Here is a 19,088-nt window from a genome sequence, read left to right as displayed (position 1 = left end):
TATGAAATCTCTGTTGGGTGGCACAAAAGTTTGGAAGCCTTAGTCAGCATCCACAAACATAAAGCACTGTAGCACTATTATAGCATTATATAGTCTTTTGATATTTGGCTTCCTTTTAGTGTTTAAAAAATTACAAAAGTCTCAGGAAGGTATTATTAAATTCTTATGCATTGTTATTTGTAATGGCTGTTTCACACAATTAAGAAGAAATTGTTTTCTTCTTAATTTTCTTAATTGATAACAGTTTTCTTCTTAATTGATAACAGTTCTTTGTAAATTACAGATATTAATTACTAACATCTGCATTATAATTATTCTTCTATATCTATTGTTACTGTATTTGACTTTGCTTTTGATTATTTTATTCAAATATGCCTGTCCTTTTTTTTGCGGTTTCTGGGCTACCAGACTTAGTTAAAAAGAGTTCCTCCCCCTGAATTATACATACAGTATCCTATATTTTCATATAGGATGTTTGTTTTGCATTCAGATCTTAATCAGGAATTTCACTAAGTATATGCTATAGTATTATAATTTTATTTTCTTCTAAACAGAATACCAATCGGGCTACCAATAAGTTTTAAACTGTTCATTTTTGATTGAGTTGAAATACCATGTTTATAAACTGTCGTTTACACTGTTGTCTACGAGTCTGCTCTACTAATCTATTTGTCTATCCCTATGCCAATGTAAGTTTATTATGGTGGCTTCACAGACTGGTCTTATATCAGGAAAGGCAAGTATCTACCACTGTATTTCTTTTTTGTAAATATCATAAATATTTCTGCTCTAGGTTTTTTTCTTTAACCAGGTTTATTATGAGTTAATCTATTTTTTTGATCTTTCAAAAAACCATCTTTGGATTCACTTATTCTTTCTACTCGTTTGATGTTTTCTGTTTCATTAGTTTTAGCTTTTATCTTTATTCCCATCTTCCTAGCATTTTTATTGTTCTTTTTATAAAGTTCCTTTATTTTTCATCTTTTTTCTATAATAATGAAGGTATTCAAGATTACAACATTTCCTTTAAGTTTAATGTTTATTGTACCCCATAGAGTTAGATATTTATCTCTAGTTTCATTGGATTATTATAAAAATATGGGCTATACGAAATCTCTACTTTCTAAAATTTAAGATTTTCCTTGTAGCCACATACATGATATATCATCTTCTAATGTTCCATGAGAATACAAAATTATATTTCTTATTTGAAAGATGTTTTTTATTTGAAAGATACTTCATCTATTAAAAAAAGTTGATTGTACTATTGGGTTATCCTCTATCCTTATTTAGTTTGACTACACATATGTCTCAATCTGAGAGAGAGATCAAAGTTATCCACCGTAACTATGTATTTTTAAATCAAGTTTTCTTTCATTTCTAAGATTCTTATTCATATATTTATTATTTATGTTAATTTATTCCTGTAGGTTTATGATTGCTTTGTACTCTTCATGAATAGTACCTTTTTATTATCATATAATTCCCCTTTATCCTCTGTACTTTTTAGCTTAATTTTCACTCCGTCTGATATTAATATTGCCATTTCTGCTTTCTGTTTTGTTTGCCTTGGCCTAGTATGTTTTAACCATAAAGCTTTCTTTATACTTTGTTTGCTTCTTGTAAGTAGCAAATAACTAGAACTTAACTCAATCTCTGACAATCTGTCTTGTAATGGGAGAATTCAGTTCATTCATATTTGACTTAACAAGAGACATACCTATTTTCCTTTCATTTTTCCTTATATTTGTCCATTTTATGTTGTGCTTGTCCCCCTTTTTCTGCTATTCAGATGAAATTCCTATTCATTCCATTCTTGCCCATTATTACAGGATTTTCCTTTGTGTGTGTGTGTGCTCACAAACAAAGAATTATCTGCTGTTATTGGAAAATCAGATACCATTTCCTCCATAAAGACCCATTGTCTTCCATATCAAGATGCTATATCCTCCCTTTTCTGCTTCCCTTTCCTCCCACCCAAGTAAAATAAAGCCTTTGGAAAACTCTCATTTTCCTCCACTCTGCCTTCCTCTCCTGTAGATGTTATCTGTAGATGTTATCCTGTTGTCTTTCTATTTTCCAGGATTGCAGATGAGAAACTGAATGCTAACCTAACACTTCTATTGTAAATTTGGAAGGTTATAAGATTTTGTGTTTATCCTTAAAGTTCGGGAGTATCATCTTGCTAGGCTTTACCTTCCTCATTAATCCTATGTAGAATTTAGTGAGCCTATTCAGTCTGTAGACTTGAGTTCCTCTATAGGTCCCCCAAAAAAGTTTTGATTATTTGCATGTTAAGCCTCCTGGATCTATCTTCCAAGTCTCTTAATTTTTCTTTCAAGATTTATACCTCTTTGTGTTTTTGCTCTGTGCTTTGAGATATTCTTCCATTTGATCTTCTAGGCAACAAATTTTGGTCTCAGCAGTGGCTTCCTTCAACTCACCTACTGAATTGTTTAGGTGGGAAATCATGATCTTTTCAAATCTCCAAAACACTTTTTGGGGACTAGACATGAATTCCCTTAATTGTATCAGAAAGAATTTTTCAGCTGCAAGAAATAAATAACACAAATAAAAGTGCCTTACACAATAAAGGAATTATTGTTTCACATAACAAGGAATCTATATTTAAGTGGTTCCATGTTGGTCAAGTCAGTGGCATAATTATCTCATCAGGGACAATGTCTGCCCTCCTCACAATGTCAGTGATATCCCCCTCATGGTCACACAACGGCTACAGTAATTCCAGACACCACAGGCAGACAAAACAACATCTAGTGAAAAAGGGAGCACTTCAGCCAGTGTGTCTCATTTTGTTAGTTAGCAAAACTTCTAGCAAAAATCTCTCAGATCCAACTGATCAGGAATGGAGCATCTGTCCAACTGAAATCAACCACTGACAAGGGAAATGGAATTTTATGATTGGCTTAGATCAATTATTATTCATTCACCTGGGGAATATTCACTTCTGCCCTGGCAAAAGGGATGAGTATAACTGGATTAGGCAAACAGTGTCATGACAGCTGGCTTTTTTTTTTCTTGGTTTAGTTGTCGTCTGTCTACTGTAGGCACTCTGTTTTATCAGATATGTGTCTATTTGTTCAGACTGATCCTGTCTCACTGCAGGACTCACTTAGATATGTTGTTATTTTTCTTTTTTGTCTCACTTGGGTTCAGGCCTGGTTATTAATATAATCCAAAAGCTGGTAGTCCTACAGGTAGTGAAAATCCAGACACAGATGAACTACCAGATCTTGCTGAGAGAATAAGAGGATAAAGAATAAGAAAAAGCCTCCTGTATCCAAAATTCCTGTCACGAACAGTGATGCAGCTCAGATGTTTAGCCGCTTCTTAGTCTCCGGGAGCAAGAAGGCTGAGTACACTTAGAAGTGGCTATGCCGATCTCTACTCTTGAAGTCCATAAATCTCCTTAAGTCAAACTCCTTCCATGATCTGTCACATTCAAAATCCTGCCATCATGCTTTTTGACACTGCTCTCTGGCCCCTTAGTCCACGGGGCAAAAACTTTACTCAAGTTGTCCATACCAAAATTACTGTCACTATTTAGCTCAAGAGGTTCAGAAAAACTGGAATAGAAAGTATAAGGCCACACACAGGACCATCTCCAATGAGTATTATTGTTATTATTTGTGATGTTATGCTAAGTGCTTTACATTTATTGTCGTATATATTGTGTACACATCCTATTTATTCCCATTTTACAGGTAAAGAAACTGGGGTTTAGAGATTATTATGTACCTTTCACAAGGCCACTTTACTGTGCACCGTTAAGTGAAGTTGGCATGTAAATCCAAGATTGTCTCCAAAATTCTTTCTTCTAAATCCTACACCAAACAATCTCTGTGGCAGCTCAGAGAGTTGACAAGTTGAGACAGTCTATTACAGAATATAACTAGTGATGAACAGAAATAAAATAGTAAGAAGCTAGAAACATTTCTGAAAGCTAGAAAAGTTCACATTCTACCAGATGATTAATGATTTTTGTAAATTTTCTTCTCAATAAACAACATTATGTAATGAAATCCTGAATTGCTTAATGTTCAGTGAATTAAAAAACTCTAGAAATGATGAAATGATGCTATAACACCCAAATCAGGGTTTCTTGAATTTTTATTGTTGTTCCAGACCCTTTGGAAGTCTGGCAAAGCCTACAGGAAAATGTTTCTAAATGCATGAGAACAAATATATGGGATTACAATGGAAAAATGATCTTTAAATACTGCTATCAAAATACTGAAAAAAAACAAATGCGTTATATAGTAAATATGTGCTTCTTTATTAACACATTACATAACAAGCTTTAATGGTGGATCTACTAATTATCATAATTTGGAAGTAGTAATTAGTGTAAATGTTATTTTGAGATATCTGTGATGACTGTATTATGATATGAAAACATTTGTGGTTTCTATTGGTGACAAACTTATAGGTACTTCTGTGGGTTATCTGTAACATATATCATAATTCAAGGAAATTGTGATTAGTGAAAATAAAATACGGATTTTTTTCCCATCGAAATTCATGGATCTTCTAAGTTTAATTCAAGGACCCCAGGTTAAGAACTCCTTATCTAAAGCCTATGCCTGAATATTCCAGGGACACTATATTGAAACTTCTCATTCCTACCTGGGGTGTACTACCATGACTTTTCCTAGAATATAATCATTTTTCACTATCTAACTTTTCTAAGTAGGATGTATTAAATGGAAAAAGCATGGAAGATACAGTTTAATTGTATGCCACATCTATTATTGAAAAAATGGACAAAATATCTGGACTCTCCCTAGAAAAAAATTAATCCAAATACATATACCAAGCTTCAGGGTTCACAGACCTTGGGTTACTAACTCTAGCCTTATCTTTTATTGCTACTTTGATAAATTCCTTTCTTATGAGAAATGAATGTCAAGACCTTTACCTTTCAGAGTAGAAGAAATGTTGCCTCCAAGTCTATCAAATCTTTCCTAGAAATCTCCACAAAATGTTATCAAAATCTTTCAAAGTGCTTTATAGAAAATATAACCTGAATCTGGGTCATCAGTGTAGTGTAACATTATACTGCTGTGAACAAACAGGTGTACAAATTTTAAGAAACTTGATGTACTACTCTTTGTTCAAAATCAATATTGCTCAGACTATAGCTCTGACAAAATATTATGACCAAATCTGAATTTAACATCAGAGAGACACGTGGAGAAGCTGGCAAAGATTCAGAAAACAATCACAAATATAATAAAGCATTAAAAACATCCCTATAGAAATGGCTAAATAAACTAGCAACTAGGATTACGTAGCCTGGCAGAGAAAATACTAAAGAGTAAACTCAAAACAGTCTTGAAACATATGAAAAACATTTTAAAATATAGATTTGATCTTGGCCAAAAGATGGAAAAGCAACAAAAAATTTTAAACAAGGTGCAATGAGTCAGAAAGAGATCTTTACCACCTCTTATACAACAAAAGAAATGGGCTTCAAATTACAAATCAGGGACTTGACTTACATATATGTTCCTGTCTCTTAATTATGGCATCACAACTCTTTCAGTTACCAATATTCAAAGCACATATGTGGTACTCCTATATCCACTTAGTCATTAAGTGCCGTGGAGTCTACCTCTAATTTCCATCCCTTCCTCTCCATTCCACAGCCACCATCAAAACTTGGAGCCTCACCATTTTCTGTGTAGATAACATCTAACTGGTCTCCCAGACACAAGATTCTCACTGCCTAAATCGATCCCGGCTCTACTATGCATGAGCAATGAAATTTCTGGCAAGATACTTAGGATGTGATTTACTCATCTGTGATTTTACAAAGCTGTTACAAAGACCAAATGATATAATTATATCAGTGCATTTAAAATAGCTAATCACCACACAAATGTAAGGAATTTACATGATAGTAACCTCCAGATGGAAACAATCTTTAAGAGCCTCCTATTTACTATCTCATTAATGGAAGGAAAATAGAGTATTTTGAGGAAATCTTCATTGTTGCATCCATATGCCAAGCTCCTTCCCACCTTCTTCCGTCATTCATGTTCCTTCACTGGACTGGAATTTTTACAACTCCAAGTCCCAACGCTTATTAATATCTTTTTCAAGTCCCATCTGTTCACTGAAGCTTTCCATAAATATTCTTCACTATTTCTGAATGGCTATGACACCTATCAACACCTATTATACAATAAAACTTACTTGGTGATAGTTCATATTATTGTCTGTTGTCTTACCATGTTAGACTTATCTTCTCAACTAGATATTAAACTGCCTGCACCCTGGGTGGACAAAGTGATCTAAAGGATATTCTAGAACAGAGGTAGACGGGCAGATCTCAGCCAAATCCTATAGGAGACAGACACCAGAGTTGGGGCAGAAGGATCAAAGGAGGAATGCCAATTCCAAAGGAGCTGGACTGAAATTAGGGGGTTGAGTCAAGAACTTGAAATGAAATGTAGACATAGATGTGTAGGTCTAGCTCCTAGGTGTGGATACAAAGCAGACAGTAAGATTCTACTTGTCTAATTTTCAAAAAAAGAAAAAATGGAGAAAGGACGGACCCCATACACTAAATGAGGAGCCCTTAAGCCAAAAGATTCCAGAAAAGACTGCTGCAAGGGTAATTTGTTCACACTTAGAAAAGTAAGCACCTCAAAGTGCAAAGACTCTCCACCACTGAGGATTTCAAAAGAATATGCCAAGATCTTTGAAAATAAAGGAAGAGATCAAGTACTCCCTGCAGATCAGGTGGTTCAGAAAACCTGAACTGCCACATCTAGTGAGGCACCAGAGATATACAAGTGGAATGGGTCGTCTCTTATTGGGCTGCAGGATAGGAAGCTAAGAGAGAATCTTGGAGACATGCAAAATATAAACCCAAATAGCAACCCTGGGGAAGGGAGCAGTGTAGAGACTTAAAGATTTCCCTAAGCAGAAACTAAATGAAACAAAATGAATTTTTGAAAAGACAAATATTTTCTCAGTCCTGAAAGCTAGGAAAGCTATCAATATCATACAACAACCTTGGAGAAAGACCATCACAGTGAAGCAGGAGGGTGATGAAATTCAGAAAGGCCAGAGTGATAATTCCCAGGTCTGTGGGCCATGGTGTAAAGTATCTCCCTCACACCATTCTGTGCATGATGGTGTGAGGTACTGCAGAAGACTGAGACCAGAAGAACTACTGAAATTTGACATTAGAAAATTGTGGTTGCACTGAATACCATGGACAATTAAAAAAATTTTTTTTTAATTCTAAGAGGAACTTGGAGAAAAAAGATGAAGTTTTTTTCTGGAAGTTTTATCCCAGAAAACAGAAAAGAAATCAAACCACAAATACTTCACACTCTAAAGAAAATTTTAACAGAATATGACTCCATAAGAAATTTTAAAGAAAGATAAATTTGTAACAGAAGAAACTAAAATGAAAAGAGTCAAGGAAAAAAATACCTTTTGGCTACTATGAATAATGCTGCTATAAACACTGGAGAAAAAATACTTGTTTGAGTCTCTGCTTTCAATTCTTTTGGATATATAACTACAAGTGGAATTGCTGGATTATATGGTAATTCTATGTTTAATTTTTTGAGGAACTGACATATTGTTTTCACATTAAGTGTACCATTTTACATTCCCACTAGTATAAGATTCCAATTTTTCTACATCCTCTCCAACACTTATTATTTTGTTGTTTTTTAATAATAGCTATCCTAAGGGACTCAGAATATATTTTTAATGAGTCACTGACAAATTCACAAATCCCTTTATCTCAGATTTACTCATAAAAGGATTAGAGGTACAATATTTGTCTGGAGAAAGACCTTTTCCACTGCATAAAAACGCTCACATTGGCTATCTAACATGTGGCCCCAGCATCATTAGCAACATACTCAAAGCAATTAAGCCAACAGGCTTGAACCACTGCTTCTCTGACTGGTACAGATCTGTCTCTAACTGCTTTAAGAACTAACTATTCTAACTAATGGAAAAAAACATCTGTAAAAAAAAAAGCTACAAATGGGGATGGCGGGGGATGGGGAGACAGGCTGTAATGCCAGATATCTTTGTTCCTATCTTCATCTGCTAAAAAGGTGAGTCAATCCATTTACCTTAGTCAGGATTAGAAGAGCTAGGAGGGGATATAGATAAAGAAGGAAATTAATTGCTTTAATTGTCAGCTTGTGTTAACATATATATCTCTAAATCCCCATTTCAACTCTTATTTTTTGTGGAACCATCAAGCTTTTCCCCCCTTTTAAAATTTTGGAATCCATTCATCTTTCCTTGCCACAAAACAGTCCTGTGCCAGAATCTGGTTCTTTTCTCAAGGGTATAACATTTCAGCTTGTTATAAACAGCATATGGATATAGATTATGTAATGATAATGTGTGCTACATTCCAAGGACTTACATTTTCTGCATATATGTGAATAGCAAGTAATTTTGCATTGATTTTTTTCTACTCTCAAAATAATATACTAATCAACTAAAACATTAACTTGGTGTATTCCTTTGTGTTTTATAGACAGAATCCCTTCTTTTATTGATTTAAAAGTTTAAAAAAGTTATGTGTTGAAGGAGCCATAATACAAATAATATATAACTACCTAGCTTTTGGGGTAAAATTTTAGATTTGTTCTTAAAGAAACCAAAGATACTGAAGTCCAGTGAAAGATTTCCTAATAACCAACTTCCGAATAATTTGTTAGTGTCAATATTCTACTAGCCTTACATTTTGTGTTTGTCCCATGCTGTTTGAATGTAGCCAAATAGCACATCCAGACTTAGACTTCAGTCTCTTCTGTGCATACTCAGCTACTGCCATTTATAAACAGAAGAGTTAGGCATTATCTTTTAAAACACACAAAGACTTGTGCATGCAGATGAAGCTCTGCACATAAGCGGAGTGTGTATTATAATAATCACTAAGAATTTCTGAAACTCGCATGTCAAAAAGTATCATGTTCACTTCCCAGGATTTTTCAAATAGGAACACACAATGGTTCTGGCTTTCCACTATAACCTGACTTTCACCTCCTTCAAAAAGAACTTTAAAAAAAGAAGAAGAAGAAAAAAGTAAAAGGATATCTGAAGACATTTCTCATCGATAGCTACATGGTCCAGTATATTTGTAATTCTATCCCCTTTTCCTTTATACCAAACGAGTGATGAAAACCTGACAGGAAAGGCAAGAAACATACTAACATTAAATCGCTGGGATGTATTCACAGAAATAGACAGAAACGGGCCTAAGTAGGCACAAAAAAATTAATGCTGGAAACTGTATAGGCAGCAAGTGAAAACCTCTCTGTCATGACAGGAGGAGGTTAAAAAGTTTAAGAAAATTTCTGAATAAAATTACTAAGACTAAAGCAATGAAAGAGATTGATTTTTCAATTTTCTTGAAAAACAGGAGTCAACCTGTGACCCAGCTCCCCAGGTATTACATGCAGGCCTCAGGAATACAGTCATTTAGGAAGTAACTGCTTCAAAGAGTCCAGCTAAAACTACAAAGACGTGAAATTCCAATCAGACACCAGAAATTCTTTGGGGAATAAAAGAATTTTATGACTCATAAGATGAAAATCTCCTGAATACTCACTAAAGTAATCTAATGAAGTATTGTCACTAGGAAAGGAGTTTGATGAATTTATGTGTTATGTAGGCAAATTTTAAGCAAAACAAGAAATTGAGCAAACTTGAACTTGTATTCATTTCTAAGTTTTCCTCTCAGGGTAAAACTAACTTTAAGGGCACCAGACTTGCCTGTATGAAGTGGCATTCTGTAGGATGTCACATTTTTAACTTCTAGGATTCTAAGCAAAATTTCACATCCATTTTTAAAAACTAGAACAGGTCAGCTTAGGAGTAGGTCCAGGATTCAAATGTGAGTCATTTTGAAGGTTCTTAGTCTTCAAATTTAATACAATTTGAAAGAAGCTATAAGAATTGAAGGCAAAGGCTTAAGACAGATGCCAACGTAATAAGAAAGAAGGAGGTCAAGTTTTTCCTGAGGAAATTAACAAACAACAAAAACTAGAGATGCGATCATTTTCTTGACTTTCAGATGATGCTTAAGCATAGGAGAAAATCAACACCAAGGAGGCTACCCTGACCTTACTACTTTTTCCATTTATTTTTAACTTAATTCCAATTCAAAATTTTGCCTGTTCTATATGAAATTCTTTTCTAGTAACAGGCTGTAAAAATACAGCAAGCAATGAAAGCCCTCTGTTTAATCTTTCCCAGGGACAAACAGAGTATAATGTACAATATGTATTATAACTATGTGTTAGATTGCAAATTACTCTTATTTAATTTAGTCTAGTGCTTAGCTTCACCTCTGAAATATCAGTCTGCATCCTTCTATTTTGGTTTGATTCTATAGTCCACTTAAAACAGTAAATGTTTACATTAAAAGGACAAGAGAATGTGTGATGTATTTTAACTGTCAGAAGTGTTGTGAACAGCAGCAGCTGGAAGAAGAATGTGTCGTCCACTTCACTGTTACCCTGAAGCCTTTTAGATTCTTCAAACCAGCACTTACATCCTTCAGTGCTCAGGAAAGAAGGAAGGAAGGAACAAAGAAAGAAGGAAGGAAGGAAAGCAGGCAATTCAATTGTCATCTCTGAAAAAAAAATGTAGTAAAATTTCTAGAATTTACATGTGATCTTTGCATTGGATTCTACACTAACTTTCTGCTAGTGCAGGGACTGAACTGGTCACTGGAAATGGAGCTCTTCTTTCATTATTTTAGGTTGCTGGATCATACTGAGATAAAAACCAGAAGCAAATGAAACAAGCTCTAAGCTTTACTTAGAGGTCTGTATGAACTGTGCATATCCAGTTCCTCTGCAATCATCATTCACATCATCCTGAATTCATTATGATATAGCTGTTGTTAAAGGCCTACTCATAAGACCAAACACTGAAAACAATTTCCTTCCTTTAATATTTCCAGATCTGGTAAAATCCCACTAATAAAACTGGAGAGAAATGTATGACACTCTTACTCTTATTGCAGTGGGCCCAGTGGGAACATGGCTGGAGAGAAATGAAGCCTAAGGATATGCTGGAGGATAAGGACAAAATATGCAGAATTTGATTTCAGGCTTGACACATTCAGTTCAAGAAATATTTGAAGGTGGACAAAAACCTGCATGATCCAACTCCTGCCTACCTCTCCAAACACATCTCAAACCACTCTTCCCCTTGTGCTTCAACCACACTGGTCTTCTCTTGGTTGCCGTAACATATCAAATACTTGCTTTCTCTTCTGCTTTGAACACTCCCCCAAGCTCTTTGTGTGGTTGTATTCTCATACTTTCGACCTTGGCTCAGATATCACCTCCTCAGTAGGCTTTCCCTGAAATGCCTATTTAAATGAGCGTCTCCCTCCACCTACCACCATCATTCCCTATCATGGGATCAACAATATCAAAGGGTTAAATAGATCCTTTCTATTTCCTGCATAGCTCCTATCAAATATCATCCCATTTATTTGTTTCCTTGTTTAGTAACTCCTTAATAGCAGGAGCCCTGTCTGTTTGCCACTGTATCTCCTGTCCCTAAGGCAGTAGATATTGACTTAATGGATGTGTTTAAAACTATACTAGAGGCCAAGGGTAAAACAAGAGGCAACCATACAGTCCCACCCTCAAAAAAATTATAAAGACAATAGAGACTGGTAAGTAATCATAAGAGAGCTGTTTTACAAGGGGCATATAATTCTAGTAGAAAGAAACCCCATGTCTATCTTATGGGGAAAAAAAGGATATTCCAAGGGAGGACACCCCATATGTAGGGGCACGAAACAACAATAACAGCACAATGCATTCTGGGGAATTAGTTTAGCGTTTTCTAAAATACCAATTGCTAAAGATGGGGGTGGGAAGTAGAGAAATTGAACATAGACAGAGAAAGGTCTAGGTCATGAAAGCCTTTGATTGCATGCAAAGGGAGGGATATTTCATCCCATAGTCAATTAGAAGCCCTTGGAAAAACTCTGGGCAGAGGGGTTACATGATTAGATTTGCTAGTGCCAATAATGTCGTACTCCTGTTTGTAAACTTATTTTAAAAACTCACTTAATTAAGGAAGGGCCTGAGTCTATGCTGTACCATATATACTCAATGCCCAGTCCATTAGAGCAAGTGTTGAATTGGTGTTTAAAAGAATAAATGAATAATAGGGATGTAACCACAATGGCAGAGTAGGAGATATCAGCTTTCTCCCTTTAGCACCCCCAAAATAAACATAGACAGCTATCTCCAAACAAAATAACCCCAGAGAGTCCCCAAGATCCTATTTAAGATTTTGCAACAATACAGTGGAGCAAAAAAAAAATATACACACAGAAAATAAATAACTGGTAAGATCAGTATACCTGAGATGCCAGGATATTGCCCAGAACAAAGAAGAATAGCAGAGGTTGTCTGAATCAGCCATGTGGTGAAAACCACCATGGTCCTCAGCAGCCTGCTCTGCAGATGACAACAATATCTTTTGCCACTGAAATAACAAACCATTATTCTTCACAGGGAACCCCAGAGAGGAAGACACAGCTACACACACCTCACCAACCCAAGAAGTGGCCACTGTTGAGCTGCTTTGGGAAAGAAGCCACCAACTCTCCAAATCCCCTAAGTGCCTCAACTCTGGACACCTCTTGAGTCCTCACACTCTAGACCTGGGTCCTGTGGCTGCACTGGGTTTGTCCACATTTCAGACACTGGAGCATTTCAGACACTGGAGCTTACTAGCAAGCTAATTTGTACTCCAGAACCTAGAGTTAAGCTCTTGCTGTGCATGGCTGCACTCCAGGCACCAGCTCAGCCACCACAGTGAGCTAGGCCCTGCTCTGACTCCAAAACCACTGTAACTACACACATTTGTGCTCTAGTTTTTGACTCCCCGGCTACTTTACAAGAATCTGAGCTTTACATACTGTTATCAGTGTGGCAGTGAGAGTGCCTGCACACTGGACACTAGTGCCATTACACCCCAGAGCCCAGAGCCATATTCCTTCCTTTTGTGCCTGTGCTTCAGGCCTCAGCTCCATGGCTGCTCCATGGGCACCACTCATCAGACACTAGTGCCACACCAAACTGCGAGTGGGCCTGCAAGCCAAATCCAGTGCCAAAAGAAATCCCCTCAGCCACAACTTCCTCAGTGAAAGAAAAAGAAATCAGGAGGCCCTTAGCTGCCATTATCATAGAAAACTCAGAAACCCTCACTGCCACTGTGGACAATCCTCACTGCCACTGCCACTATGGACACAGAAAACCCAGAAACCCTCACTGCCACTGTGGTATCAGCTGCTGAGTATCACTGCAATCTCCATCAACAATGACCTCAGCTGACAGAGCTGCAGAGACATACACAGCTGCACCTTCACTGGTGCTAGAATTGCTACATCCCCCACCCAGCAAGTTCCCTGGAAGCCCCCAATAAAAGAAGGACTTTCCACAGCAAAGCTAGCCCATAAAATCTAGAAGAGGTGACTGTTCCACCAAATGTGCAAAGATTAACATAAGGCAACAAGAAACATAAAAAACCAGGGAGACATACCACTACCAAGAGAACACAATAATTTCCCAGTAGGTGACCCTAAAGAAATGGAGATATGCAAACTGCCTGACAAAGAATTCAAAACAATTGTTTTAGGAAAGCTCAGCAAACTTCAATACAATATAGAGAAATAATTCCATAAGATTAGGAAAACACTGTAAGACCAAAACAAGAACTTTAACAAAGATTAAAATTATATTTAAAAAAGAAATTAGGGAGCCAAAAAATACAAGGAATGAAATTTAAAACCCATAGAGAAGTAAAAAGAACTGATTAAGCAGAAGAAAGAATCTATGAACTCAAAGACAAGTTATCTTAAAAAATACAGTCAGAGAGAATAAAAGAAAAAGAATGAAAAGGAATAAAACCTTAAGGGATTTATCAGATAGCATCAGAAGAGCAAATATTCATGCTATAGGATTTGGGGGAGAATAAAGAGACAAAGAGCCAGAAAGCTTATTTAAAGAAATAATAGCAGAAATCTTTCCAAATCTAGGGAAAGATACAAATATCCAGGTATAGGAAGGTAATAAATATCATCAATCAGATTCAATCCAAGTAAGACTACAGCAAGACATACTATAATCAAACTGTCAAAAATTAAAGACAGAGAGAATTCTGAAAACAGCCAGAGGAAAGAAGCAATCACATTTAAGGGAGTTCAAATAAGGCTAGCAGTATACTTCTCAGCAGGAACCTTACAGGCCAGGAAAGAGTGGGGTGATATAAGTGCAGGGGGAGGACGGGACTGCCAACCAAGAATGCCCAGGAAATCTGTCCATCAGAAGTAAAGAAGAGATAAACACTTTCCTAGATAAGCAAAAGCTAAGTGAGTTCAACATCACCAGACCCTCTTAAAAGAAATGTTAAAGGAAATACTTTAAACTTAAAAAACAGACAAAAAATAGTAACATAAAAACACTAGAGGCTGGGCGCAGTGGCTCACACCTGTAATCCCAACACTTTGGGAGGCTGAGGCGGGCGGGCAGATTGCTTGTGTTCAGGAGTTCAAGACCAGCTTGGCCAACATGGTGAAACCCCCTCTCTACTAAAAATAGAAAAAATTAGCCAGGCGTGGTGGCACATGCCTGTGGTCCCAGCTACTCAGGAGGCTGAGGCAGAAGAATTGCTTGAACCTGGGAGGTGGAGGTTTCAGTGAGCCAAGATCACACCACTGCACTCCAGCCTGGGCAACAGAGCAAGACTCCATCTCAAAAAACTAAAACAAAAATTACAGTATGAAACTCACAGATAAAAGTAATTACATCCTCAAATTCAGGATACTTTTATAATGTAATGATGGTGTAGAAATCCTTTAAATTTTTAGTATGAAAGTTAAAAGACAAAACTATTAAAAATAATAGCTACAATAATTTGCTGAGGGATATACAAAAAAAAAGATGTAAACTGTAACAGCAAAAGTATAAAATGTGAGAGAGATGGGTGAGGCAAAAGTGTAGGATTTTGTAATACAATCAAAGTTAACTTGTTATCAGCCTTAAAATAGCCTATTATGACTATAATATGTTTTATATAAGTCTCATAGTAGTCATAAAACAAAAAGCTACAGTAGATATACAAAAGATAGAGAGTGAGAAATCAAAAATACCACTAGAGAAAATGATCCACTTACAAAGGAAAGTCATAAAAGAGAAAGGAAAAAATGAATCTACAAAACAACCAGAAAATAATTTTTAATGCCACTAATGAGGCCAAACCTATCAATAATTACCTTGAATGTAAATGAACCAACTTCTCCAATCAAAAGACAGATTGGCTAAATGAATAAAAACACAAGACCCAACTATATTCTGCCTACAAGAGACTTACTTCACCTATAAGGACACATATAAATTAAGAATAAAAGCATGGAAAAAGATATTCCATGTAAATAGAAACCAAGAGAGTATGTGTAGCTATATTTATATCAGATAAAATGGATTAAAAGTCAAAAACTGTAAAATGAGACAAAGAAGGCCATTATATAACGATAAAGCAGTCAATTCTTCAAGAGCATATAACTACTGTAAATATATATAATATACATATAAAACCAAAACCAGAGGACCTAAATATATATATATAGCAAATATTGAGATATATATATATATATAAAGCAAATATTGATACAAATGAAGGGAGAGATAGACTATAATAGAATAATAACAAAGAGTTTCAATATTTTCACTTTCAATAGTGGACAGATAATCCAGACAGAAAGTCAATAAGGAAACACCGGACTTGAACTACACTTCATACCAAACAGACCTAACAGACATGTACAAAACGTTCTATCCAACAGCAGCAGAATACATATTCTCTTCAAGCACAAGCGGAACATTCTCCAGGACAGATCATATGTTAGGCTACAAAACACAACTTAACAAATTTAAGAAAACTGAAATTGTATCAGGCATCTTTTCCAACCACTATAATATGAAACCAAAAATCAATAATAGGAGGAACTTCAGAAAATTCACACATGTGAAGAAGTTAAACACATGCTCTTAAACAACCAAAAGGTCAAAGAAGAAATTAAAAGAAAAATTTAAAAATATCTCGAAATACACAAAAATAGAAACACAACATCCTGACACTTATCGGATGCAGCAAAATCACTTCTAAAAGGAAAGTTCTTAGCAATAACTGCCTCCATCAAAAAAGAAGAAAGATCTCAAATAAACAGCCTAACGTTACATCTCAAGGAACTAGAAAACAAACAAACTAGGCAAAAAGATAGCAGGAAGAAGAAAATAATAAAAATCAGAGCAGAAATAAATAGAGACTAGACAAAAAAGAAAAGTTCAATGAAACCAAGTTGGTTTTTTAAAAAGGTAAAACAAGATCAACAAACCCTTAGGTAGATCAGGGAAAAAAAAAAGACAACAAAATCAGAAATGAAAAAGGAGGTATTACACAAATAGCACTCAAATACAAATGATCATGAGTCTACTATGAACAGTTATATGCCAAAAAATTGGATGACCTAGAAGAAATGAATAAATTCCTAGACACATACATCATACTAAGACTCAATCATGAGGTAAAAGAAAATGTGAAGAGACCAATCACAAGGAAGGACATTGAATAAGTAATAAAATGTCTCCCATCAAATAAAATCCCAGGATCTAATTGCTTCACTACTGAATTCTACCAACCTTTTAAAGAAGTACTAATAACAATCCTTCTCAAACTCTTCCAAAGAATTGAAGAGATGGGAATACATTTAAACATATTTATGAGGCCAGCATTACTCTGATACCAAAGCCAGACAAGACATTACAAGAAAAGAAACTATAGGCCAATATCCCTGATGAATATAGATATACAAATTCTAAACAAAATATTAGAAAACTAAATTCAACAACACATTAAAAGAATGATTCATCATGACCAAGTGAGATTTTGAGGTGCGAGGATGGTTCAACATAACCAAAACAATAATATGATATACCACATTAACAGAATGAAGGACAAGAACCATATGATCATCTCAATAGAAGTAGAAAAGGCATGGAACAAAATTCAACATCCTTTCATGATAAAAGCTCTCAACAAATTAGGTATAGTAGGAATGTGCCTCAACACAATAAAGGCCATATATGACAAGCTTACAGCTAAAATCAAACTCAAAAGTGAAAAGTTCTTTCTAAGATCTGAAACAAGACAAGGGTGCCTACTCTCACTACTTCTATTCAATATTGTACTAAAAGTCCCAGTCAGAGCAATTAGGCAAAAAGATGAAAAATAAAATACACCCAAATTGGAAAGGCAGAAGTTTAACTGTCCCTGTTTGCAGATGAAATAATCCTATATATAGAAGACCCACCAGGCACTGTGGCTCATGCCTGTAATCCCAGCACTTTGGGAGGCTGAGGAAGGCAGATCACCTGAGGTCAGGAGTTTGAGACAAGCCTGGTCAACATGGTGAAACCCCATCTCTACTAAAAATACAAAATTAGTCAGGCATGGTGGCACACACCTGTAATCCCAGCTACTCAGGAAGCCAAGGCAAGAGAATCACTTGAACCCAGGTGGCAGAGGTTGCAGTGAGCCAAGATTGCACCATTGCACTCCAGCCTGGGCAACAAGAGTGAGACTCTGTCTCAAAAAAAAAAAAAAAAAAGAAAACCCTAAAGATGCCACCAAAAACCTGTTAAAACTAATAAATTCAGTAAAGTGGGTGGATACAAAATCAACATACGAAACTCAGTTACATTTCTATACACTAATAATGAACCACTCAAAAAAGAAAGCAAGAAAACTATTCCATTTACAATAACAAATAAAATACTTAGAAATAAATTTAACAATGGAGGTGAAAGATCTGTACCCTGAAAACTATAAAACATTGATTTAAAATATTGAAGAAACAAATAAACAGAAAGATATCCTATGTTCACGGATTAAAAGAATTAATATTGTTCAAATATTCATACTACCCACAGCCATCTACAGACTTAATGCAATCACCATCAAAATTTCAATAATAATTTAATTATACATTTAAAAATACCTAAAAGGGTATAATTGGATTGTTTCTAACACAAAGGATAAATGCATGAGGTGATGGATACCCCATTTACCCTGATGTGATTATCACACATTGTATGCCTACATAAAAATATCCCATATACCCCATAAATAAATAAATAAATATATATATATATATATATATATATATATATATATATATATACTATGTACTCCCAAAAATTAAAAATTAAACATTTTCAGGTCCTAAATATCTTTGTTAATTTTCTACCTCGATTATCTGTCTAATACTGGCAATGAAGTGCTGAAGTCTTACCCTACTATTGTGTGGGAGTCTAAGTCTCTTTGTAGGTCTCTAAGGACTTGCTTTATGAATCTGGGTGCTCCTGGGTTGGGTGCATATATATTTGGAATAGTTAGGTCTTATTGAATTGAGCCCTTTGCCATTATGTAATGCCCTTCTTTGTCTTTTTTGATCTTTGTTGGTTTAAAGTTTGTTTTGTCTAAAAATAGGATTGCAACCCCTGCTTTTTTCCGATTTCCATTTGCTTGGTAGGTTTTCCTCCATCCCTTTATTTTGAGCCTATGCATGTCGTTGCATGTTAGATGGGTCTCTTGAAGAAAGCATACCATTGAGTCTTGTTTCTTTATCCAGCTTGCCATTCTGTGCCTTTTAAATGGGAAATTTAGCCTGTTTACATTCAAGGTTAGTGTTGACATGTGTGGATTTGATCCTGTCATTGTGTTGTTAACTGCTTATTATGCCAACTTGTTTGTGTGGTTGCCCTGTAGTGTCACTAGTCTGTGTACTTAAATGTGTTTTTGCATCAGCTGGTAATGGTCTTTCCTTTCCATATTTAGTGCTCCTTTCAGGATCTCTTATAAGGCAGGTCTGGAGGTAAAAAAACTTCCTCAGCATTTGCTTCTCTGAAAAAGATCTTATTTCTCCTTCACTGAAGAAGCTTAGTTTAGCTGGATATAAAATTAAGTGTAAAACCCAAAAC

At 35.5% G+C, this 19,088-nt stretch overlaps 1 protein-coding gene across 8 annotated transcripts in view, besides 1 other annotated feature; it reads right to left on the bottom strand.

The window, feature by feature from the left end:
- The window catches only part of MSRB3 (methionine sulfoxide reductase B3), a 188,225-nt gene that overhangs the window by 26,230 nt on the left and 142,907 nt on the right, over positions 1 to 19,088 (bottom strand). The gene's annotated exons all lie outside the window — the stretch shown is intronic.
- Positions 8,946 to 10,145: an enhancer, noted in NCBI's record as "P300/CBP strongly-dependent group 1 enhancer chr12:65824313-65825512 (GRCh37/hg19 assembly coordinates)". NCBI's record gives its function as "activates an origin of replication core promoter dependent on BRD2, BRD4, P300/CBP, MED14 and CDK7 cofactors, with strong dependence on P300/CBP, by STARR-seq in HCT116 cells {active_cell/tissue: HCT116}" and the evidence as "EXISTENCE:reporter gene assay evidence [ECO:0000049][PMID:35650434]".

This window comes from Homo sapiens, chromosome 12 (genome assembly GCF_000001405.40).
Source record: "Homo sapiens chromosome 12, GRCh38.p14 Primary Assembly".
In the NCBI taxonomy this organism is placed as follows: domain Eukaryota; kingdom Metazoa; phylum Chordata; class Mammalia; order Primates; family Hominidae; genus Homo; species Homo sapiens.
This window is presented reverse-complemented; position numbering and strand designations above follow the sequence as displayed.